Genomic DNA, 26,062 nt, shown 5'->3' on the forward strand with positions numbered 1-26,062 from the left:
AGGGCTTCAGCTTACTTACTTTGAGACCTGCCAGTTGTCCAGTGTTAAGTTATCTGTGTTGTTATCAGAATCAAACATTAAAAACATACAGCCTATTCTTACCATTGTTTTGGAGAACTGAGAAAGGGTCAGCATGTTGGAGAATTGAGGAGACTCAACAGATCAGATGAGAAGGCTAATACTCTCATCATGGGCAGAGGGTTTAAAAGCTGGGACCAATAATTCAAACTTTCATATAGTACTTTCCACTTCACAACTGTTGGAGCAACAAAGTTTTGGGAGAACTGCTCCATGACGAAGCACCTTCATTAACTCCTTTCACTTGGAATTCCTAAAGAGCATACCTGTTACCTTCTCAGCTACCCAGAAGCACAGAAAATCATTTAAATTCATCCTAATACCAATAGAAATAGAAATAGAGAATAGTTTTTCCTTTACTGTGGTTTGAATGTTTGTTCTGTTCAAAATTCATGTTGAAATTTAATTGCCATTGTAACAGTATTAAGAGGTGGGACTTTTGAGATGTGATTAGGCCATGAGGGCTCTGCCTACACGAGCCAGCTTAATGCCATTATAATAAGGCAAATTTGAACCCCTTTTGCTTCTTTGTCCTTTTGTCTCCCTCCATCTGATGATGCAGCAAAGTCCTTGCCATATGCCAGATCCTTGATCTTAGACTTCCCAGCCTCCAGAGCTGTGAGAAAATAAATTTATGTTCGTTATAACTTACCCAGTTTCAGGTACTCTTTTATAGCAGGACAAAATTAACTATGGCATCCTTCCTCAACACAAAGTTAAGAATCAGAAGATTCTTAACTTCCCTTTGTCTTGCATCTTTATATTTAGGTCTTGAATAAATAGCAGTACATGAAAGGAGGAATAAAAACACTTTTTTTTTTTTTTTGAGAAAAAATCTTGCTCTGTCACCCAGGCTGGAGTGCAGTGGTGCAATCTCGACTCACTGCAACCTCCGCCTTCTGGGCTCAAGCGATTCTCCTGCCTCAGCCTCCCTAGTAGCTGGCACATGCCACCACGCCCTGCTAATTTTTTTTGTATTTTTAGTAGAGACAGGGTTTTGCCATGTTGGCGAGGCTGTTCTCTAACTCCTGACCTCAGGTGATCCGCCCGCCTCGGCCTCCCAAAGTGCAGGGATTACAGGCATGAGCCACTATGTCTAGCCTAAAAAGCACTTTTTAAAGAACTTAATGGCTTCTAACTTTCTTCCTGAGCCCTAAATATCCTTGAAGAAAAATAATAAGCTAAATAATAGGATTAAAAACATTAATTGGAGTTTTAAATGAAGCTTAAAACAGGAAAAGTATATATCTTTGCTAAAGAAAAAATTTAGTTAATAGGTACAAAGAAGAGGTTTCAAATAGAAATTTAAAATGAAAATTAACAAAAATATAATTTTTCACCTATTAGATAGATCATTTAAAAGGTTGATAATGCCAACATTGCTGGTAGGAGTAGATTAGCATTGTATATCAGATTTTAAATGAGTGGCAATTTTAGCATTGAGAATGTAGCCTAAGGAAATAATTGGAGAATCCCCAAGACCACCTTCAGGTTCAGTAATTCACTGAGAGGACTCACAGGGCTCAGCATATGTTCATACTCATAATTTATTATAGTGAAAAAATACTAAGCACAATCAGCAAAAGGAAAATGTGCATGGGGCAATGTCCAGGGAAAACCAGGCACAAGCTTTCAAAAGTCCTCGCCCAGAGGAGTCACACAGGATATGCTTAATTTCCCCGGCAACAAGTTACAATAACTTATGTGAAACACCAACCACAGAAGCTCTTGAGATACTCAATGCCCACGGTTTTTACTGGGGATGGATCACATAGGCAACCTTTGCTTGGCATGTACCAAAATTCCAGACACACAAGGAAAATAGGTGTTCAGTAAAAACCATATTGTTTATACAAAAAGGTTAGGCATAGTGAGCTACTATTATCAGTTAATAATAGGAACCCTTGCAAAATCTGTTACCAGACATCAACCAAAAGTCAAATTTATAAGCAGGCCTTTCTAAGGACAGGAATTCAGTCCTGTTATATTAACTATTTTCAGGAAGGCACATATCAAAAATAAATGTTGAAAAATGTTAATCAGAGCACTTTTAATACTAGTTTTTCTAAAAACTGGGGAAAAACTATATTTCCATTAATAGGTGCTTATTAAATAACACATTATGTCTCCATAAAATAAAAAAACAATAGCTCTCTCAAATGAATACAAACATGTATTCATGGCTGGGCATGGTGGCTCACACCTGTAATCCCAGCACTTTGACAGGCCAAGGCAGGTGGATCACCTGAGGTCAGGAGTTTGAGACCAACCTGACCAACGTGGAGAAACCTCGTCTCTACTAAAAAAATACAAAATTAGCCAGGTGTGGCGGCAGGTGCCTGTAATCCCAGCTACTTGGGAGGCTGAGGCAGAGAATTGCTTGAACCCGGGTGGCAGAGGTTGCAGTGAGCTGAGATCACACCATTGCACACATGCCTGGGTAACAAGAGTAAAACTCCATCTCAAAAAAAAATTATATATATTCATTAACATATAATATTCAACTTTCTACTTCTCATCTTCATTTATATATTGAATTAGCCATATATTTATTATATCTAAAACCCATAATTTTCCTCCTTAAGCCACCAGCTTCACCCATACTCTGCTCCATCTCAGTTTTAGCCAGTCCATTATTTTTGTTGCTCAGACTAAAAACAGTAGACAGGTTCCTAATTCCTCTATATTTTTCATATATCACATGCAATTTATCAGCAAATCCTAGTGGATATACCTTCAAAATGTATCCAGAATCTGACCACTTCTCCTCATCTCCTTTCCTACCACTATGGTCCAAGACACTGTCATGTACTAGGATGTTATTGCAATGGTGTCCAAGGCTCCCTCTGGTTCTATCTTTAGTCCTTGTAGCATAAACTTATAGGCCTCCAACCAATTTGTTTCTCTTTTTTTCTTTTTTAATTTTTTTCTTTTTTTTTTTTTGAGGCAGAATCTCATTCTGTCACCCAGGCTGGAGTGCGGTGGTGCGATCTTGCCTCACTGCAACCTCCTCCTCCCAAGTTTAAGCTATTCTCCTACCTCAGCCTCCTGAGTAGCTGGGACTACAGGCACGTGCCACCATGCCCAGCTAATTTTGTGTATTTTTAGTAGAGGCAGGGTTTCACCATGTTAGCCAAGATGATCTCGATCTCCTGTCCTTGTGATCTGCCCGCCTCGGCCTCCCAAAGTGCTGGGATTACAGGTGTGAGCTACCACACCCGGCCCTTTTTTTTTTTTTTCTTAAAAAAAACTTAGGCTGTACACATGGTCATCACCTCTTCCCCCATTAGGGACTGTATTTTCAGTCTCACTTGAAGCAAGTTGTGGCTATATGATTAAGAAGGATGGGATGTGAGCAGAGGTGAAGTGTGCAACTTTTGGTTCATCTCTAATGTAAAAAACAAGCCATTTGTCCTAGAAATTCTCTCTTCCTCTTTTCTGCAAGATGTCATGATCCTGTGAACACAAGCAAGATAAAAACATGATTGAAAGGATAGGGAACAACAAAACATGTAATCTGGTCCCTGACTGACCACATGGAACAGAACCACACTACCAACATCCCAAGAAGTAAACCTTATTCAAGCCTCTGTAATTTGGCAGGTCTCTTTGTTTCAGCATAACTACTGCCATGACCCCAATACACTCCTCTGTATTTATTCTCAAAACAGTAGTTTATATGATTCTAGTTGAATCATGTTAGTTGAATCATGTTATTTCTCTATGCAAAATTCTTGAATGACCATTCAGCTTATTCAGAATAAAAGCCAAGGTCTTAACTAGGTCCCAGGCAATCTTGTCCTCCCAGGTCTGTTTGGCCAGTTTCTGTTCATATTCTCCCATTCCGCTGTAGCCATAGGGGTCTGTTTGGCACTCTTTGAAGGTGCCAGGCACTCTCCCATCCCATCACAGCTCCTTTGCAGTTGCCGTTCTCTCTGCCGGAAACTCTCTTTGTCTAGAAATCCACAAAGATAACTCCCTTACCAACTCTGAGTTTTTCCTCAAACATTATTTTCTCAGTGGACCTTCCCTGACCAACCAACACTTGCACACTCCATGTCTTTCCTGTCTTCCTGTTCTCTGTAGCCCCTATTGCTTTCTAATATATACTATAACTTACTTATGATATAATTTATTTATGTAATATTACTTTCCCTTCAAAAGTAAGCTGTATGAAGGCAAAATAATTGATTATGTTTACTGATAATGTTTCTGACACATGGAAAATGAATAATAAATGTTTTCTGAATAAACATGTCAATAGGAATGCTTTTGTCTACAAATAAAAAAAATTAACAGAAGCTTAAAGCATATAAATACACTTATTGTTTTTTGTTTTTGTTTTTGTTTGAGACAGAGCTTCACTCTTGTTGCCCAGACTGGAGTGCAATGGCTCGATCTTGGCTCACCACAACCTCTGACTCCCGGGTTCAAGCGGTTCTCCTGCCTCAGCCTCCCGAGTAGCTGAGATTACAGGCATGGGCCACCATGCTGGGCTAATTTTGTATTTTTAGTAGAAACGGGGTTTCTTCATGTTGGTCAGGCTGGTCTTGAACTCCCAACCTCAGGTGATCTGCCCACCTTGGCCTCCCAAAGTTCTGGGATTACAGGCATGAGCCACTGCGCCTGCCCCACTTATTGTTTATGTTACAAGAAAACCTGGTTAGTGTCACAGATTGTCTACATTAGGTCATCACTACAGTGCCAATAATATTTCTCTTTATTTTCACAAGATGGCTGCTGTAGCTCCAAACAGTACGTCTTCATACAATACAACCTCAAGAAATTGAAGGAGGGAAAAAAAATGCTCTCACATGTCTTTTTTCAGGATGGTAAATCTTTCCCAGATGTCTTCCAGTAGACTTCCTCTTAGGTCTCATTGACCAGAGTGGCATTACACTGTCATTTCTAGACAAATTACTGGCAAGAGAGAAAGGATAGCTATAATTTTTATATACACCAATCAAGATTTATCCCAGGGGCTGAACAAAATGCTATCTAAACAAAATTAGAATTCTGTTAACATAAATGTAGGAGACATGGTTGTTGGGTTGGCAGCCAAGAGTCTGCCTGAATGACATACAAATGAATATTGTTTATTGCAAAATTATAATTATATAATAAGGTTACCTTTTATAATAGGAATTATTTGAAGGTTATCTTTTAATGTTTAATGTAATTAAATAGGAAAAAGCACTCCAGAATGATAGTGTATCAGTTAAGATTGCTTTTAATTGCATGTAACAGAAACCAGATTAAAATTTAAATGCTTAATCAGAAAGGTTTTTTTCCTTATAACAAGAATTTCCACTGTAGGCAGTTCAGGACTGATCAAAGGGCTTCATGATGCCATGAGGGACTCAGGCTTCATTATGCCAGACTGCATGCAATTTTTGTCTTTTGGGCCAAAAAAAAATGACTGCACTCCTAGCATATTTGCACACTATGTAGACAAGAGGTGGTTGCTAGGCAAGTCAGCCGCCTTCCCAATAGCGCGTACTCAGTGATTCCTGCTTGCATCTCCTTGGCCAGAACTGGTTCTCAGGGCCATTGCTTGTCTGGGGAGGTAAGTATTTTAGCTAGATCCAAACAAAAATTTGGATCTGTTATTAAGAAATAAGAAGAGAATGGATATTTGATAGGCAAGTAGTGTCTACAATTTATGTTTACCAAATATATTAACTGTGACTACCATTGAGTGGTGAAATTATAAGTGATTCTTGTATCTTATTATATTGCCTGAGTTGTTTTCAAAATGTATGTTCTTTTTTAAAAAAAATTTGGAAATAAGCATAATAAAGCTATTTCGATTTGGCAGGGGAAAGTAGAAAGTTTAGAGATTTTTTCCTATAGACTGCACCAAAATATTCCTGACCTTAAAATGTCTGCTCCAAATGATCATGTCAAAATATTCTTACCAAATATATAACTTTGGACATATACTCTCAGAGCCTCAGTTAACTTGTCAATAAAATAAGGACATTATAACTACTCCCAAAGTTATTGTAAAGTTTAAATGAGATAATGTATATAAAATATTTAGCACAAATGCTCACTATATGGTAGCTTTTATTAATAGTACTTAAGATCGAGTGTAGTGGCTTACAGTACTACCCGCACTTTAAGAAGCCGAGGTGGCAGGATCACTTGAGCTCAGGAGTTTGCGACCAGCCGAGGCAACATACTGGGACTTCATCTCCACTAAAAATAAAAAAAAAATTAGCCAGGTGTAGTGGCACATACCTGTAGTCCTAGCTACTCAGGAGGCTGAGGTGGGAGAATCACTTGAGCCCAGGAGGTCAAGATGGCAGTGACCTGTAATCGCACCACTGCACTCCAGCCTGGACGACAGAGCAAGACCCTGTCTCACTAAATAAATAAATAAATACATAAATACATAAATAAATAGTACTTAGATACATGGTAGTTGTAAAATAGTCTTTAAATTAACTATATGTTTTATTGACTTTACTTAGCTATATCTGTTATATTAGCTCATCTTTGAGTATTTACTATGTAACAGAAACTGCTAAATATCTTACTTATATTGTCATGTAAACCTCAAAATAATCTATGAAATAGATAAATTATTATCTGTATTATGCAAATGGAAAAAAAAAACTATGGCTTAGGGAGGTTAAGCAAATTGTTCAAGATTATATAAGGCAAAATGTGGCAAAGCTTAAATTTAGAGCTAGGCAGTTTGACACAAATTTTTCATTCTTAACCAATCTCCTACAACATGAATCTGAAAGTCCTCTATTTTAACATCATGAAAAATCATTAGCCTGCTTATAAATCAATTCGTCTAAGAAATTACTTTGGCTATTTTAATTTGCAAGTCTAGCAGAAAGAACTGTAGAATCAGCCGAAACACATCCAGAAATTCAAACCTTGTCATTGCAGCTTTTATTAATGATGGCACCCCGGTTAATAGTTCTGCTTTAAACAATTTTTATAAATTCTCAAATAGTATGGATTCATACATTTTATAAAAATATATACAAATGCAAAATTTTCAAGTTAATTCATTTACTAATTACAATTTGGCTAAATCAGTCTAGAAAACTAACAATGCTATGAAAAAAGTCAAGTAATCCATAACAAAAGAGCAATATAAATAGACACTCTTTCTCAGTTATTGTACTGGAATAACTAGTTGTATTAACTGCTTGCATGACTTCATTCTTAAGTATAAAATTAATAAAATGAGAGAAGAATAAAAAATAATGAGGTTTTAGTTTAAAAAATACTAATTGAAATCATTAGACAAATGATTTATAAGTTATCTTAGCTGAATCTAAAAGAAATATATTTCTCAGCAAAATACAATTCAGACAATTTTATAGCAAGTATCTCTCTAAGGTTACTGCAATTTACCAACACAAATAAATTGAGTTCTGTAAAAGTTAATGACTGTCTGATACTTCCTGCTGGCTAGAAGAAAAGGCAGAATACAGGAGCAAATATATTACAAAAAATGATTTTTAAAAAATGCTTATGAGGTACAGCGGTATGCAGAAGAGTGAAAGATTATGTGCAGGAGTCAATCAGAAAAGCTTTACATAGGATATAGCAGAATACATCTCTGAAAGATAAATAGAACTTTTTCAGATAATTTCCACAAAGAAAAGCAGTCCAGGCAGAGGGACCAATATAAGCAAAAGCATAGAGAATATAAAATAATGTGGTGATTTTGAGGAATTGCATGTTCTTCAACACTCCTAAACATAAATTTTGAGGAAAAAATGACATGAGCTGTTAGAGATGAAGCAGGTGATTCACAGAGGATCTTTTTGGCCATATTGTAGTTTGAGCCTTATCCAAGGTCATTGGGAGAGACACTGAAAAATATATATCAGTGAAGTCATGTGGTCATATGGCATTTTAAGTAATCATTTTTATCATACTGATGGAAGACCCTTGCATCATTATGATTTTTTTTTTTGCTTCTAGTAGTACATTTTGCATTAAAATATTTTTGATATAGTATAGCTTTACCAGTTTTGTTTTGGTTAGAATCTGCATGTTCTAGAATTTTTAACCATTTTACCTTCATCTTTGCAGCAAATAATTAGAAACCTTTTCCTCAATCTAATAATACATGTTTTTTTCAGATGGAGTCTCGCTCTGTCGCACAGGCTGGAGTGCAGTGGGATGATCTCGGCTCACTGCAACCTCTGCCTCCCGGGTTCAAGTGATTCTCCTGCCCCAGCCTCCTGAGTAGCTGGGATTACAGGCACGCACCACCATCCCTGGTTAATTTTTTTATTTTTAGTAGAGACAGGGTTTCACATGTTGGCCAGGCTGGTCTCAAACTCCTGACCTCAGGTGATCCACCCACCTTGGCCTCCTAAAGTGCTGAGATTACAGGCATAAGCCACTGCACCCGGCCTCAATCTAAAAATTTTAGTCTGTAATTGGAATATTTATCCATTAATATTTAATGTAATTTTACCAGTATTATTATAATTTATTTTTTATTTGTCCCACCTGTTCTATATTTATTTTTTCTTTCCATTCTTTTACTCTTTGGAATTAATGAAGTGATTGTTGCTATTTATTTCCCCCTTCCCACTATTTGCTTGTTGGTTATATACTTTTTCTTATTTCATGGGTTATGTTAAAGCAGGGTTTATCAACCATGTTACAAGTGACATTTTGGACTGAATAATTCTTTCTTGGGTTTGGGGAGGGCCATTCTGTGTATATTGTAAGATTTTTAGCACCATTCATGGATTCTACACATTAGATACCACTAGCACCACTCTCCCTCCCCTAATTATAATAATAAAAAATGTCATTAGACATGAATGAATGTCCCCTGGGGGACAAAATGTCCTCTCTTGAGACCCACTGCTCTAGATCTGGGATGTTCAATATGTTAGCCAGTAGTCACATGTGAGACCTTGACATGTGGTTAGTATAAATTGAGATATGTTATAAAAGGTAAAAGGCTCTAGATTTTGAAAACTTAGTATGATTGAAAAAAAACAGAACTTTAGAACACCTCACTTTAACTCTGTTAACTATTCCTTTCCTCTTTTTGTGCTATTGTTGTCAAGGGATTTTTGGTTTGGTTTGGTTTAGTTTTCAGAGACAAAGTCTTACCCTGTTACTCACGCTGGAGTGCAGTGGTGTGATCATAGCTCATTGCAACCTCAAACTCCTGAGCTCAAGCAATCCACTTAAGCCTCCTGAGTAGCTAAAACTACAGACACGCTGCCATGTCTGGCTAATTTTTTCTTTCTTTCTGTTTATTTTTTTTTTTTTTTTTTTTTTTTTGTGGAAATGGGTGTCTCGCTTTGCTGCCCAGGCTGGTCTCCAGCTCCTGGCCGCAAGAGATCCTCTCACCTAGGTTTCCCAGTTGGATTAGGATTACAGGCATGAACCACCATACCTGACCTCAAGTATTCTAATTCTATAATTATACATGCCATTTCACATTAATAATATTGTTCTATATCGCTAATATTCACCTACATTTGACCTTTTACGTTGCTGTCTTCACTGCTTCCTGAATTTTCATGCTTCCATTTGGAATCATTTTCTTTCTGATTGAAGAATTCCCTTTATTATTTTTTACTGCATACCTACTATTGATTAATTCTCTCAATTTTTGTTTTTCTTAAAGTCTTTCATTACAGCTAAGTGAATTTTTACATATGAACATATTCACATAACCACAACCCAGATCATGGAATAGTTTCAGCACTATCAAAGGCTCCCTCATGCCTCTTCTAATGAATACTTCCCCAAAAGGAATACTATCCTGACTTCTATAAACATTAATTCGCTTTGCCTTCTTTTGGCATTCATATAAACAGGCTTATACAGTAGCCTTTTGTGCCTAGTTTCTTTTGTACAACACTATGTCTATGAAATTTGTCCATTTTTGTAGCATGTAGCAGTAGTTTTCTGAATAATATTACATTGTATCAATACACCACAGTTGGTTTTTCCAGTATCACATTGCTGTATCATTGTTCCCAGATGTATGTGATTATAAATAAAGCTGCTATGAACTTTCTTGTACATGTATTTGGTGAACACAAGCACTCAATATACTAGGAATAAAATTGCCGGGTCACATGGTAAACTCCTTAGTAGATACTGCCGAACAATTTCCAAAGTTGTTGTACCAATTTACATTCCCATCAGCAATGGATGAGAGTTCTAGTTTCTCCACATCGTCACTTAACAGTTTGGGATAGTAAGGTTTTTTATTCTTAGCTTTTCTGGTGTATAACTGTCTTTTGGAGGATATGTATTGTGAACATATTCTTCTGATTTTTGGCTTTTTTTTCTCCTTGATGTCTTAGGCTGAACATAAGTACTTAATTTTTAAAAAGTCTAATTTTAAAATTCCTAAATGTAATTTTAAAAAACAGACTTTCTAATTTTTCAAAGTCTGTTTGTTCTGGTTATTATGTTTTGTTTAAGAAATAATGGCTTATCCCAAGATCATTAAGACAGTTTCTTATAACTTAATCTAGAAATCTTATTTAACTTTCACATTTAGGTCTATGATTCATCTTCTTTTAATTTTGAAGGACATTTTCGCTAGTTTGGAATTCTAAGGCATTTGCTTTCATTTGTTTACAGAAGCTATTCTAGTGTTTGTCATTTCCATTATTTCTGTTGAGAAGTCATATTGTTGCTTCCTTAAAAAGACTTTTTCTTTCTTTTGGGTGCTTCTAAGATTTTTCTCTGTGTTTGGTTTTCAGCAGTTTGACTGTAATGCTCCTAGATATGGTTTTCTTTGAATTTATCCTGAATGGAGTTCATAACCCTTCTAGATTCTGTGACCTGATATCTTCCATAACTTTTAGAATATTTGGGTCAACATCTCTCCAAATATTGCTTCTGCTTATTCTCTTTCCTTTTCTTCTGGGACTCAAATTACACGTACATCAGAATGTGTCACCATGTCCCACAATTTTCTTATGCTGTTTTCCGCATGTCTAACCTCTTTTTCTCACCATAATTCAATCTGGATATTCTTTTCTGTCCTTTCTTCCAGTTTATTTATTCTCTTTTAAACCATGTTTAATCTGCTATTAAGCCCGTTTACCAAATTCTTGTTTGAGTTACTATAATTTTTGCTTCTACAGTTTCCACAAAATTTTTAATAGACTCCAGTTTTCTATTGAAATTCCTTATCTTTTCATATTTTTTTCTTGAACATATTAATTGATAGTTATTTTAAAGATCATAGGGCCAGGTGCATTTGCTCACATATGTAATCCCAAGACTTTGAGAGGCCAAGGTGAGAGGATCCCTTGAGGCCAGAAGTGTGAGACCAGCCTAGGTAACAGAGTGGGACCCTCTCTCTACAAAAAAAATTTAAAAATTAGCTGGGAGTGGTGATGAGTGTCTGTAATCTCAGCTACTCTGAAAGCTGAGACAGTAGGATTACCTGAGCCCAGGAGGTAGAGGCTGCAGTGAGTCATGATCACACCACTGCACTCCAGCCTGTGTGACAGATCAAGACCTTGTCTCAAAAATAAAAAATAAAAATAAAAGAAGCCCATGTGCAATAAACACAATATGTGGATCTCTATGTGTTTGTTTGCCTGTTTCTTTTGTTGTTTGTTTGTTTTGATACAGAATCTCACTCTGTTGCTCAGTGGCACAATCTCAGCTCACTGCAACCTCTGCCTCCTGGGTTCAAGCGATTCTTCTGCCTCAGCCTCCTGAGTAGCTGGGATTACAGGTGCACACCACCATGCCCGGCCAATTTTGTATTTTTAGTAGAGGCGGGGTTTCGCCATGTTGGTCAGGCTGGTCTCGAACTCCTCACCTTGTGATCTGCCCGCCTTGGCCTCCCCAAGTGTTGGGATTACAGGCGTGAACCACTGTGCCCGGCCACCTGTTTCTTTTTATATATTTATTTATTTGAGACCACGGGCATGTGCCACCATACTCAGCTAATTTATTTTTTTCAGAGGTGGGGTCTTCCTATGTTGCCCATGCTGGTCTTGAACTCCTGGCCTCAAATGATCCTCCTGCCTCTGCTCCCCAAAGTGCTGGGGTTACAGGTATGAGGCATCATAACTGGCCGGTTTTTGTTTTTTTCTTGTGATGTGGTCATTTATTCTGTGTCCTGGTATGCCTACAATTTTCTACTAAATATTGGGCATTGTGTATGAAAAGTTGTAGTAATAACTTGAAGCTTTCAATGATGTTTTCTTTCTCTGGAGATTACTTTTTATTTTTCTGGTAGGCAGTCAAATAGAGCTAGATCACCTGAATATATTCTGTGATGGTACTGATTCAAAGCTAAGTTTCTTTTTTAAAAATTAAACTTAATTTAATTTAATTTTTTTGTAGAGACATGGTCTTGATATGTTGCCCAGGCTGGTCTCAAGCTCCTGGCCTCAGGCAATCCTCCCACCTCTACATCCCAAAGTGCTGGGATTACAGGCATGAGCCACCATGCCCAGCCTAACAGCTGAGTTTTAGTCTTTGCAATGGCTCTGTATTTTCAGTTTACACCACTCCTAGGATTATCCTTCCATAGGTTTCACTAAAAAATCTGGAGTGTTTACAAGAGTCATTTGCCTTGGATGGATGCTGAACTCCAAATTTTGTCTCCCCAGTATCATAAGACTGATAAAAATTCTGCTTAATGAATCTCTTGGTCAATGCTTTCTGTTTGATTTCTTTTTTTTCTTTCTTTCTTTTTGAGACAGAGTTTCACTCTTGTTGCCCAGGCTGCAGTGTAATGACATGATCTCGGCTCACTGCAACCTCCACCTCCAGGGTTCAAGTGATTCTCCTGCCTCAGCTTCCTGAGTAGCTGGGATTACAGGCATGCGCCACCATGCCCAGCTAATTTTGTATTTTTAGTAGAGATGGGGTTTCTCCATGTTGGTCAGGCTGGTCTTGACTCCTGACCTCAGGTGATCCGCCTGCCTTGGCCTCCCAAAGGGCTAGGATTACATGCGTAAGCCACCGTGCCTGGCTTTCTGTTTAATTTCTAATCCCCTCATTCTATACCACCCACAATCAGCAAATTCCTTGAGGGGATAAATAACAAAGACTGTTAGGATCATCTCAATTTCTGTGTCTTCTTTCCAAGATCTTGGTTGATGGGTTCCTAGTTCCCAGTTGCCTAGTTCTCTGATATTTTCAAACCAAATTTTTTTATTTCATTCAGTTTCTTTTAAAGCTGTTGTTGACATTGGGGGTAGGTCTGATAAAAGCTAGTCTATTTGCTTAAAAGAGAATTACCAAGACGATATCAAGATACCTAGTGTTAGAAATAAATGCTTGTTCCTTGGTGCCAAAAAGAAGAACTAGCGCTCAAAGAATTTTCTCAGCAAGGCAATTTTACTTTCTGCAGAAAGGGTGCTTTTTGGAAGCCTGATTGTCACGAGAGCACCTTGAACAAAGAAAAGCAGAGGTTTTTATTCCTGACGCATTGGGTCCTTACTGCTGTGTCCTATCTCCATTGGCTGGAGCTGGACTGCACAATCTAGACTGATCCCGATTAGCTAAAAACTTAAAACTTTCCTAAACAGGCAAATGTGCGACAGAGAACAAGGAAAGGAAGGGGGTTGTTTATGGGAAACTAGGAGAACAATAACATTTCCAAATAAGGAAGGGGCGTAGGCTGTAAGCCAGGAAATGCCTGGGCATGTTCAGATACGTCTGAGCAGGTTATAGGCCAGAATAAATAACTTGGTTGAAGTACAAGGACATAGAATGTACTTATTCCCTTACTATATGTAACAGCTACACAGGGCTTAGCAAAGAGTTATTAGCAAAAAGCAAGGAAGCTTGAAGGAAGTTAGTTTTTAAAAGAAACTATTATTTCTAACACTTATTTATTCTTTAACGAAAAGGGAAACTTTGAAGAGGAACTTTTTACTTTTCACAACAGTGACAGAGCCTTCTGGGTATAATTGTTCCTAATTGTGCAGTTTATGCAAATAGAGATGACAAAAAATATTTTATTGGCCACTTTAGGACAAATTGCTAAAGAGACCACAAAACACATTGCAGCACAACAAAAGTCTCTAAATTCCTTAGCTTTAATGTTTTAGCAAAATGTATATGTTTTATATAGCTAATTGCTACAAATCTAACTAAAACCAAGATTACAGTAGCTCAATGCATAGACTTTATAGATAAGTCAACTTTGTAATCCTGCTTTTGGGTTTAGTTTTTGACTCCTGTGTTGCTTAAAAGGTTTTAAGGGTTCATGAGTGCCTGTCCACCTCCATTCCCTTCTAGCCTAGAATGTCTAATTTGCTGTAAATCTTTTAGCTCTAAGTCCCTTGAACTTCCAGGCCACTGAGGGACAGACTGGAACCAGGATAGGTAGCCACACCACCCTGGCAACAATATGGGAAAAAATAAATTTTAGCTGTAGATGCTGCCTCTAGCAAATCTCAGACAAAGGGGGAAAATGAGAAATAAAAATAAAATTCTAACCCCCCAACAGACTGAACAGACGATCTCTTGGCCAAGAAGACACCAGAGTAACCTTGAAAACTGAGTTCTCAGCCATGATAGTATTGGAGGTCAGACACACCTCCTTATACCTTATCTCCCTCACTAACCACCATTAGCCTTTTCTTCCCTAAGGGGTAAACAAAAACCAGCCCTTTCAAAAGGCTGCACCACTGATCTCAAACAACCTCCTGAGATTGCCCTTCTTTTTTGCTTAAGAGACCACAGACTAAGAAGTGGTTCTGGCCAGTCTTTGAAGAATGTGAGAATGTGTAGTAAGGGATTTTATGTCCTCTGCCTCACTTTTTGACATCACAGGGCGGAAAACTCCACCCTTGAGTTATGCTAACATCGCCATCTTTTAAACATGTTACCCATGAAGATGAATGAAGCTCAACTGCGCATGTGCGTTTCTCCTTTTATAAATATTCATGAGTCCAATAACTTATTGAATACGTATATTCAGCCACCTAGTTCGGGCATGAATTCCCGTTCCCTTTTCCCCTCCCTCCAAGTGTTGGTTTTTGCCTGGAGGCTGTGCATGTTTCCCAGCCTATTAGAATGGCCACCCTGCCAGCTACAATCTTTTATGAGAAATAAAGCTCTCCTTTCAAAATTAAAAACAACAACAAACACAAGATGATTCTGCCTGGTCAGAAGTAAAAAATCCTCTAGACCTATCTCTGTGCAGGATGTCTGTGAAGAAGAGGAAACCAGAAAAGAAGAGCTACTATAGAGATAATGAAAATATGAACTACTAAACTTTCTTCCATTTCAGATTAAAAAAAAAATAGAAAAATAAGAGACACATTTGGAGGGTAGAATTATTAGAATTTAGTGATTGGATATGTAAGAAAGATGTGAAAGAGAGGAGAGAAATCAAAGATGCTTAGATAATGGATAGTGGCCGCACTAGCTGAACAAGGCATGCAGAAAATAAAAAGGGATTAAGAGGGTCACAAGGCCAGGTGCAGTGGCTCACACCTGTAATCCTAGAACTTTGAGAGGCCAAGGTGAGAGGACCACTGGGGCCCGGAGTTCAAGACCAGCCTGGACAACATGGTGAAACCCCGTCTCTATAAAAAATACAAAAAAATAGTTAGGGGTGGTGGCACACACCTGTAATCCCAGCTATTTGGGAGGCTGAGGTGGGAGTATCGCCTGAGCCTGGGAGGTTGAGGCTGCAGTGAGCTGAGACTGGGCTACTGCACTCCAACCTGGGCAACAGAATAAGACCCTCTCTCAAAAAAAAAAAAAAAAAAAAAGAGGGGTTCACAATCAAAAAGGATGTGGTCAAGGGGGAAGGGATAATGAATTCTGGTTTAATCATGCTTAAGGTGTCTGTGGATCTTTAAGCAGAGATGATCATTAAGCAACTGGATTGGGGGGAGAGATTTGGGCTACTGAAACAGAGTTGTAAGTTATCTGAATATAAGTGGTGGTTAAAATTATAAAGTCAGATGCAATCATGCAGGTAGCGTTCTGTAAGTAGAATATGAGAACAAGCCTTGGACACACCTCTGAGAAACTCAAATATTTAAGAGGAAGGAGATATATAAATATCAGTTTAGAATCAATCTCAATTAATTATATAGAAAAATGGTAAGTAGTCCAATTTTTAAAAATTATTCCATGAAAAATAATTACTTGGGCATATTAGGTCCTTTATGATGTTTAACAAATTAGTATTTTTATAGGTCCATAAGACAGTCATTAGTCATGTATTTCCACAAAGATGTATATATCTGGAACATACAGCAGAAACACCAGAAGGATATAAATGAAACAAAGGTAATATACGTAATTTCAGGCTGGAGTTGGTCTGGTATTACTGATTTAGGGAGTAGGCTCCGAAGTACCAGCTGTAGAATCCTACTGCCCACATTTGTAACCTACCTTTTCTACTTCCTAGTTGTGTGATACTAGGGAAGATGCTTAATCTCTCAAAGCTCCAATTTTATTATTTATACAATAAAAATAAAAACAATACCTATTCCATTGGGTTGCTATGACAATGAAATGAAATAATGTGTGTAAAGTTCTTGGCATAGTGTCTGGCATATAATAAACTATCAATAAATATGAAAAGTTATATAGCTTCAGACCAGCTAAATTACACTAAAGTAAAATTAATACGAACATTTAAATCACTATTGAATTCAAGTTTTAAACACCTTTTACCTATGTTTAAATGGCAGAGTAAATCTAGTTGTAATATTTTTCATTCTTTTGATTACCAACACTGATTCAACCTGGAATATTTTCTTTCTCTATATGTTGCCCCCCAAAATAAAAATAAATGCAAACTTCCCACATAGAAATAAACCGTCTTTTTGTCAAAGTAAATATGTACCTGTGTTCCTTTGCTTGAATTGCTTTTGCACATATAACTAAAGTAATAAATGCCTTCCAAACTAGATAAAAGTTGTATTATCTGAAGTGACTTATTAATGTAAAACTGTATCCTGTATTTACCATGTGTTGGGCTGCAATCAATCATGCTACCTAAAGATCTACATAACTCTCCTTTTTAAATTCCACATCAGTCAAATATTTCTGGGAAATGAATTCTCCTAAACCAAGAACAAAATTTGTATTTGGCCAAGATACCAACTTCACTCTTGAAGTCAGTGATTCTTAATGATTCACAAGGTAAGTGCTTGCTATTTTATCCAAAGACAATAAGCAAGTTCAATTCAGTACTAACTGAAACATTGACTTTACTTTCTCTTGCCTTTAGAAATCTTTTTAGCATTTTTCATTTCTAATACTGTCTCCATCTGAATGTTCTTAGTTTGAATGTACTAATGCATTCAGAAAACATTCTTTTTTCAATTAATCCATTTTACTTGTGTGCAAGGGAGAGAAGAAAATTGTTTGCTTTATACTCTCATTTTCCTCATATATATATATATATATTTTTTTCACCCTCTCTTATGGTGATGATCCTTATATTTTACAAATTGGAAACTTTGAAAATGAAATAGTTACCTTGTGCTGTCAAGACTCTTTTTGTTCTAGGTAGTGGAAATATAATACAAATTACTTGTCCCTTAAAAGAAATGTATAGGCCAACTAACTGCAATATGCAGAGACGGTGCTAGCTCAGACACAACTAAATCAAGGGTTTCAAACCACAGTATCATCACTATAATTATTATCATATTTATTGTTCTCTCTGTGCCTCTTTCTCTTACTGTTCTGGGAAGAAGAGGTATTGGTCTTCTTGTTGCTGCTATAATAAATGACCACAACCTTAGTGACTTAAAACAGCAAAAATTTATTCTCTTAAAGTTCCAGAAGTCAGAAGTCCAAAATGAGCTTTACAGGGCTAAAACTTGAGATGTGGGCAGGGCTGGTTTCTTCTGGAGGTTCTAGGGGAGAATCTATTTCTTGACTTCTCCATGGTCTAGAGGCTGCCAGCATTTCTTGGTTTGTGGCAGCATCATTCCTGTCTCTGCTTCCATGGTCATGTTGCCTTCAACTAACTCTGATCTCCTATTTCTCTTTTGTCAGGACTCCTACGATTATATCAAGCACACCCCAAATGAAATATCCAGATAATTCAAGACAATCTGTTCATCTCCAGATTCTCAATTTAATCATATCTAAAAAATCTGTTTTATGGTGTAAGGTCACATATTCACAGGTTCTAGGGATTCAGATATCAACATATTTGGGGAGGTGATTATTCAGCCAAACACAGAGGGTCTCTTAGAACACTAACTTTAGCAAAAGTACCAGGAAGAATTCTTATTGGCCCAGCTTGGGTAATATGCCCATCCCCAAGACAATCACTATGGCCAAGGGGGTGATGTTGATGGTCAGACAGCCTAATCTGCATGACCACTCCTGAAGGATGTAATGAGAATGCTGTGACAACGGTCCCACTGGGTCTATATGTATTTGGAGAGGGATGGCTTTCCAAAGGAAGAGTTGCTATTACCAGAAGAATAAAGAAGGGATTATGAGCAGACTCCCCTCTCCCCTCACCAAAAAAAAAAAAAAAAAAAAAAAAACCCGCACAAAAAGCAGAGGCACACTACGAATTCCCATTAGAACAACACTGTCAATACTCTGGTAATAATAACAGAACTGTTCTTATTTGAAAATTCCATGTATGAGGATGTATACCTGTCTATATGTTTTTGGTTTGGACCAAAAAAGCAACGAATAAGAATGCGAGATTTAAGGTCAGACAGACCTGGATTTATAGCCTGACTCTACCCTTTCTAGCTGTGTAACATTTTAGACATGTTATTGAAATTTCCTGATTTTCAGATGCCTCACAGGTAAAATAAAGTTGCTTACTATATTGGACACGGATATTTGTCATGTTTTCTGACTACCCAGCATATTTTGAAAACAATTTTACCATACTGGAAAATCCTCAGTCTTTAGAGTCCCGCTTCCACAAAGTAGAATGCAGAAAACTGAATTCTCAGCCTCTCTTACTGCTGGGCCTAGGAATATGACAGTGACTTTGACTTCTCCTGTGAGATTCACACATGTAAGAATTTGACAGGTAAGTAACGGAGTTTATGTGGACTGTTTTAAAATCTTGCATACAAGAAGAAGGCTCCAGTCAGAATCCATTTTTCTGGTACAGTGGACAACAATGCTGCCGTCTTGTGGTGGTAGCAACAACACTGTATGCAGTTTAGTTTCTCAGTGATTTCAAGGTCAAGTTCCAGGCACAGATGTGGCCCAGGCAGGGAGTTGAGAGTTGGCAACACCTTCCCTAGTGCTCTGTGGGACAGCAAGAGAAGCAGCAGTTTCCTCTCCGCGCCAACTTTGCCATGTGATTTTCAGAATTGTTCCTAGGAGCTTAACTTCAAGTCTAGCTCTCCAGGCCTCCAAATGCTTCTGTGAGCTAACCAATAGTCTTTTTTTCAAAACTCCCTTTTCTGCTTCATCGGCTAAAGAGAGTTTGCTTCAGTTAAGTAATATTAACAGTGATGAGGCCGGGCGTGGTGGCTCACAGCTGTAATCCCAGCACTTTGGGAGGCCGAGGCAGGTGGATCACAAGGTCAGGAGATCGAGACCATCCTGGCTAACACGGTGAAACCCCATCTCTACTAAAAATAGAAAAAATTAGCCAGGCGTGGTGGCAGGCGCCTGTAGTCCCAGCTACTCGGGAGGCTGAGGCAGGAGAATGACGTGAACCCGGGAGGCGGAGCTTGCAGTGAGCCGAGGTCACGCCACTGCACTCCAGCCTGGGCGACAGAGCCAGACTCCATCTCAAAAAAAAAAAAAAAAAAAAAAAAAAAAAAGTGATCACTATATATTTATCTCAGAGAGTGATGTTGCAATTAAACAAAATAAGATATTGTTATGCAAAAAAGGACCAATGGCCAGTCAGTACACATACCAGATCTGCTAGAGCAAAATTTACTGGGGAAAATTCATGAAGACAGGAGCAGTAACAAGCATGCAGTCCCCTGTTGCATTGTAAAGTGGAACACAGAGTGCTAGCATGGTCTAATGTCACATTCTGGGATAGGGCCCCTAATCCCCGGTGTGCGGACTTTTGCCTGTTTGGAAGCATTGTCTCCTACTCTCAGGCGATCAGGGACCAGGATACTATAACAAGATGACATTGCAAAACTTTGGCTCCAGCCCTAGTCTGTGAACTCAGCTTTCATATTTGCAGCAAACATGAGCCCTTCCCCTGGCATAATCAGGAGCCTAAGGGCAGGTCTTATGGTTGACCAGGATTCACTGCCTCGATGTTTGGCTGTGGCCAGTTTTCATACAGCTTTGTAGAAGGTCAATTCCTTTTCTTTTTTTGGAGGCCACAGGGGAATCATATTTGGGCAAGTTAATTCTTACCTCCTGGACTGGGTTGAATAGTGTTCCCCCAAAATTCATGTCTACCTGGAGTTTCAGAATGTGTCCTTATTTGAAAATAGGGTCAGGCCAGGCACGGTGGCTCATGCCTGTAATCCCAGCACTTTGGGAGGTCAGGGCAGGTGGATCATGAGGTCAGGAGTTCAAGACCAGCCTGGCCAATATGGTGAAACCCCCGTCTCTACTAAAACTACAAGAAAATTAGCTGGGCGTGGTGGCGCGCACCTGTAGTCCCAGCTGCTTGGGAGGCTGAGGCAGGAGAATTGCTTGAACCTGGGAGGCAGAGGGTGCAGTAAGCTGAGATCGTGCCACTGCACTCCAACCTGGGTGACAGAGTGAGACTCTGTCTCAAAAAAAAAAAAAAGAAAAAGAAAAAGAAAATAGGGTCTGTGCAGATGTAATCAACTTATGAATAGGTCACCTGTAGGAGACAGTTTCAACATGCTGACAGCTTACCACCTCAAATGTTGTGTGTCTCTTCTCTGCCTTAGGGTTTTTTCTGGGACTAACTGTGGGAGTCTGCTCCACCCAAGTCACTCAAAGCAACAACAATCAATATGAGTTTGAAGTAGATGGATAAATGCCCCAAGCTTTCTAGCCTCCCACAGGACAGTTTTAAAGCATTTGAGAGACTCTCTCTCTCTCTCTCTCTATATATATATATAGACAATGGCCAGACCATATATGAAAATAGAACTCTGACCTACAATCTGTAGCAAGCACCCTAGGAAATCATACCATATCTACAGAAAGCTAGGATATTATCTGTAAGTCAGATTTGTAGGAAGTCAGACCACTATCTCCAGAAATCAGTCCAGTAAGTCAAGCAATAATCCCTATAACAATTGGCCCAAAATGGCCAGGACTCGATTAATAACTGACAGCTTCCCTAATTTTTGTCCCAGCTTCCAAATTAGGACCAGCCAGAGAAAGCCAAATATGCACCCCAATCAATCACACAGAAAGCCCCAAATCTGTTTAGCCTACCTATAGCTTTCTTAAGCCAACAGCTTCAAATCAGGGCATACCTGAAACCTTCTCTTTTTACCACTATAAAGCTTTCCACTCCTATGCCTGCCTCTACCAAACACAAGTGATGAGTCTCTACCAAAACACAAGTGATGATGCCTGACTCTCTTGCTATATCAAGGTCTGAATATATGCTTTGTCTGTTCTCATTTGGTCTTCATTTATTTCCATATATGGCATACACACTTTCTCTGGGGATCCCAACAAAATTAAGCCCCAGTTGCCCACTACTGTACTTTGCTCATTCATGCACTTTTTATTGGCTTTCCCTGCTTCTCTATCTTGGTTTGGTTTCCTCAATTTGCCTGCCATGAGGAATTATCTCCTGAATATACCATCTGCACCTAAGCTCTTGTTTCAGGGTCTGTTTTTGAGGAAATACAATGAAAATAGACCATATTAATGGAAGCACAATTTTAAGAATATTATATATTAACCTTGAATATTTCCCATAAAAAGAGGCATTTAAAACTAAAATTCCAAAGTGACTGCATCAACCATTGTTTTCTTCTAGTCAAAATGTTAAAATACTGAATATTACTTTTTAAATGTTGGTATTATTCCAATGGCTTTCTATGCCATTAATGTATTTGGCATATGTTTTTTATTTTCTAAAAAATGTTGGCAAAATTCCCTAAAGGGAATAGTCATTTAAATTTTTTTTTTAATTTTTATTTATCCCACATGTTAGATATGAGTTCTAAATTTCTTTTCAAAGAATCAATATATCAGTATGTTCAGTTCTTTGCCTTCTACTTTTAAACTTAACTTCCACATAAAGCAACCTTTTTTGATTACCTGCTCCACCCTGACTCATTTCAATCACCTGCCCCACCTTGACTCATTCCGATTACCTGCTACCTGCTCTGCCCTAACTCATTCTCTACTCTGCATAACCGTTTTTCCCGCCAAACCATGCACCCCATCACTGTCTTTAAATTAGCCAGTTGGAATTAGTTTAGCCTGTGCGGCCTAACCCGAGCCAATAGGGGAATGACACAGCAGCAGGGGCCACATGCGTCAGGCATAAGAACCCCTTCCCTCCCTTGTCCAAGTGTGCGCTCACCATTGCTCCATCTGTAAGGGTGCACCCTTCTATAGAAGTACCTTGCCTTGCTGAGAATTAAAAGAAAATTTTATATTCAAGTGCTATTTCTTTTGCGGCACCGAAACTTTATTTATAACACACAGGTAAAGGTTTAATGTGTGACTGTACTAAAAATAGGACTGAAATTTGAGAATGCATTTAAAGGAGAAACAATAATATTCAATAATATTCTACTGGTTGGAATATAGCTTATAAGAAAAGCTAATTACATTTACAGAGTAGTTGAAAATCTTGGACTTAGAATATATGAATGATATTCATTTGAATAAATTAAGAGAATTGAAGCATCTTTCTTGCAAAGTGATCCAGTTACATTTAGTGAGGGAATATTCATGTTTAGGCTCAGTGTCTCTGGAAACCTAAAAAAACTAGAGCACATTTGCCCTGCAGGCTCTAACTTGGAAATTCAATTACGATTTATTGATAAAAAGACTGCACCAGTGAAAATATGTTATCCTAATTTAGGAATCAATAAGCATTTCTGTGATTTTTATGCACTACAAATTATATACTTTAATTTATGCCTATCTGATGTCCAAGTATGTTGGTAAATGAGATGCCTAAAACAACATGTGGAGTTAGAATATAATTATGTTAATGCTAAAAAAAGGTGGCATTTGTATTCTAACCATAACAGAGCTTATGTGGACTGTTTTAAAAACTTGAGCACTAGGCCCATTACAGTTTCATAGTGTCCCTTCTGTCTGTCATCTTTTACACCTGGCTGATCCTCCCACACACCATAAAGACAAAGTGAAAGCACCAAGAGAAGTTTTAGGCAATTACCTCCACAGATTTCCATTTCTCTCTCTCGAAACTCTCATCTCCGTCTGGCCTGCTCTGATTTTTGATGGCCTGCATGTGTAATAGAGTTCCAAGTGAGGCTGAATTTAGAACGCTGAGTGACAAGCTGGCAGCATGTACTGCTTTACGTACCTGTAGCCTATCCTCTTGGAGATTTTCTCTCTTTTGCTCTTAGTTGTGTAAGATGTTAGGCACCTGTTCTCTTGGGGGGAAGTCTCATAACCTGATGTTTGTCAAGATTTCTTGGTATGCAGAGCTTGCCTCTAGGGTAGGGTGTGGAAAATTTGCATACTAATGAAGGAGCCACTTGGAGAAAAAAATGAGTGAAGATCTGAACAACTAACTTCCCTTTTGAGGTTTAACGTCGTTAGAAAATTTCTGACAGATTGAGGTGGTTCTGCTCAAGATTTTTAATTGGAAAATGGCATCAAAGGTTTTGAAATAGAAGTCTCCCTCAGTGCTTTGGGCTTAAGACCCATCCAACTCACGAACCTAGCCATCTAGAATAAGCAGTTTTGGTTAAAGCACATGTGAGAAGTGAGAAGTTCCTAAGCTACTTCAATTCCTAAGAAACTAGCACATAGTCAGTTTTGGAGATCCAAGGCTAAACGTGTGTCTGTATAAACTTGAAACCAAACTATGGTATAACTGTACAGTGCTGAAGAGATCTGAACAAAGAAAGGATATCATTGCAGCAGTAATAAATAGGCGTTCCTTAGACTGCAAAACAAGTGCTTGGTAGAAAAACCAAGTACAATAACAGAAAACCTCTGATGCTAAAGGCCTTCATATAATTTTCAGTTCTCTTTCTTCACTTCTTTTTATGAATAGTTTTTTGTGGGGAGGCCACAGTAGGCAGACATTGACGTTTCTGCAAATACAAGAATGAGATTGCTAATAGATATAGACCAAACTGGTAAATAAAAGTTGTGGTTTCCAGATCTGCTCAGTTTTAGAGTTTCGGCAGACTCCCTGTATTCTTGTGTCTCTGAGTATAAGCTGCGTATATTGCAAAACTTAGATAAGAGTTCTGTTGATTCCGTGGGAGCATAAAAATTGAGCAGAAAAATAGAGTTAATTTATTTTTTAAAAATCCACATAACTCAAAGTATTAGAAAACAAAATGAATTAAAACATAGAAATCAGTATGTAGATTTACAATGTAGCCTGGTTTGGCCAGGGGCAGTGGCTCACGCCTGTAATCCCAGCAGTTTGGGAAGCCAAGGTGGGTGGATCACCTGAGGTCAGGAGTTCGGGACCAGCCTGACCAACACGGAGAAACCGCATCTCTACTAAAAATATAAAATTAGCCGGGCATGGTGGCGCATTCCTGTAATCCCAGCTACTCGGGAGGCAGAGACAGGAGAATCGCTTGCAACTGGCAGGTGGAGGTTGCGTTGATCCAAGATCACGCCATCGCACTCCAGCCTGGGCAACAAGAGCGAAACTGCGTCTCAAAAAAAAAAAAAAAAAAAAAAAAAAAAACCCAAAACACAACAATGTAGCCTGTTTTACAAGTCTCAAAGTATTTCGGTGGCCAGTAGGAAGTTGGCTAACTGGGAAAGATGCTGAGATACAAGATTGGCTGAATGGTAAGATAAGGCATTCTTAGTTTTGGAATGGGGAACTGGGAAGTAAGATGAGATCTAGACCCAAAAAAAAAATCAAATATAGCCAGAAACGTAAACTGATGTCTTAACTCTGTGCTTTTAAATCAGTTTCACACTTCTATTCCATATGTGCCTGGTACCCAGTTTAAAAAAAAAGAAAAAAAAAACCCTCTGGACAAAAATGTGTTGGAAAATAAAATGAAAGAAAGCATCCCATTTACAAAATCAGATTTCATAATTAAAATACTTAGGAGTAAAAACTGAGAATCTACTTGGAGAAAAAATTAGGGAATTTTTAAAACTTTAAATAAATGGAGATATGCTTTGATCTGGTATAGAAAGACCAATCTTATAAACATGAAAATTCTCCCAAAGTTTAATAAGTTGATTCAGTGTAATCCCTAACAAAATTCCAAAGAGTTGTCTTCTTTTATTTTTTGATTTGCAAAAATAATACTAGAGCTCACCTATAAAAATAAATGTGTGAATAAAGACAGAAAATTTCTTAAAAAGAAAATTAATATGGGGAAAATATTTCTATCAGGTATTAATATGTGTAGAGCTTTAATATTAATGAATGTTATTAATAGCCAAAGAACAGGCAGATTTGTGAAACTAAAGCATTCAGAAGTAAGCCCAAAAACAAATAGGAATTCAGTGCATTAATAAATATATCTCCTTAAATTACTGAGAGAAAATCAGTTGTTCAACAGACCAATATTGAAAAACTGGGCATGAATCCCAGATATGTAAATATTTGATTGTAAAAATGAAATAATAAGAGAACTTAAAGAAAAAACAGAGAATTTTTTTTTTACAACCTTAGACTAGGAGGCTTTTAACAGGAAGACTGAAAATCCGAAGTCACTAAGGAATAGTTTACATTTGACTGCATAAAAACTAAGATCTCCTGTAAGACTAAGTGCCTGTAAGAAAAAGAGAATCTTACTACAAAGACAAAATACAACAAACCACCTGAAGAAAACATTATTTGCAACATATGACAATAAAATCTTAATTTCTTTAATATACAAATAAGACTTGCTAATCAATAAGAAAAAAGGCAATCAAATAGACAAAATAAATGGCATGGTCTATAGACCTGTAGATCAATTTAAAATAC

The 26,062-nt window shown here is 37.8% G+C and overlaps 1 long non-coding RNA gene across 3 annotated transcripts, besides 1 other annotated feature; it reads right to left on the reverse strand.

Moving 5' to 3' along the window:
* Positions 1 to 492: 492 nt before the first annotated feature.
* Positions 493 to 23,893, reverse strand: LOC105377340 (uncharacterized). Of its 3 annotated transcripts, none has more exons than XR_001741771.2 (4): positions 23,462 to 23,893; positions 6,185 to 6,279; positions 4,893 to 4,998; positions 493 to 694 (listed from the first exon to the last, which is right to left on the reverse strand). It is a non-coding gene; the product is annotated as an uncharacterized LOC105377340 (long non-coding RNA). The 3 variants fall into 3 exon arrangements; XR_939013.3 differs by lacking the exon at positions 493 to 694 and adding an exon at positions 3,293 to 3,534; XR_939014.2 differs by lacking the exons at positions 493 to 694; positions 6,185 to 6,279; positions 23,462 to 23,893 and adding exons at positions 3,293 to 3,534; positions 6,322 to 6,361.
* Positions 23,812 to 24,533: an enhancer, noted in NCBI's record as "H3K4me1 hESC enhancer chr4:99125201-99125922 (GRCh37/hg19 assembly coordinates)". NCBI's record gives its function as "activates a minimal SCP1, AML or CMV promoter by ChIP-STARR-seq in naive H9 embryonic stem cells {active_cell/tissue: H9 hESC(naive)}" and the evidence as "EXISTENCE:reporter gene assay evidence [ECO:0000049][PMID:30033119]".

This window comes from Homo sapiens, chromosome 4 (assembly GCF_000001405.40).
Source record: "Homo sapiens chromosome 4, GRCh38.p14 Primary Assembly".
Classification (NCBI taxonomy): domain Eukaryota; kingdom Metazoa; phylum Chordata; class Mammalia; order Primates; family Hominidae; genus Homo; species Homo sapiens.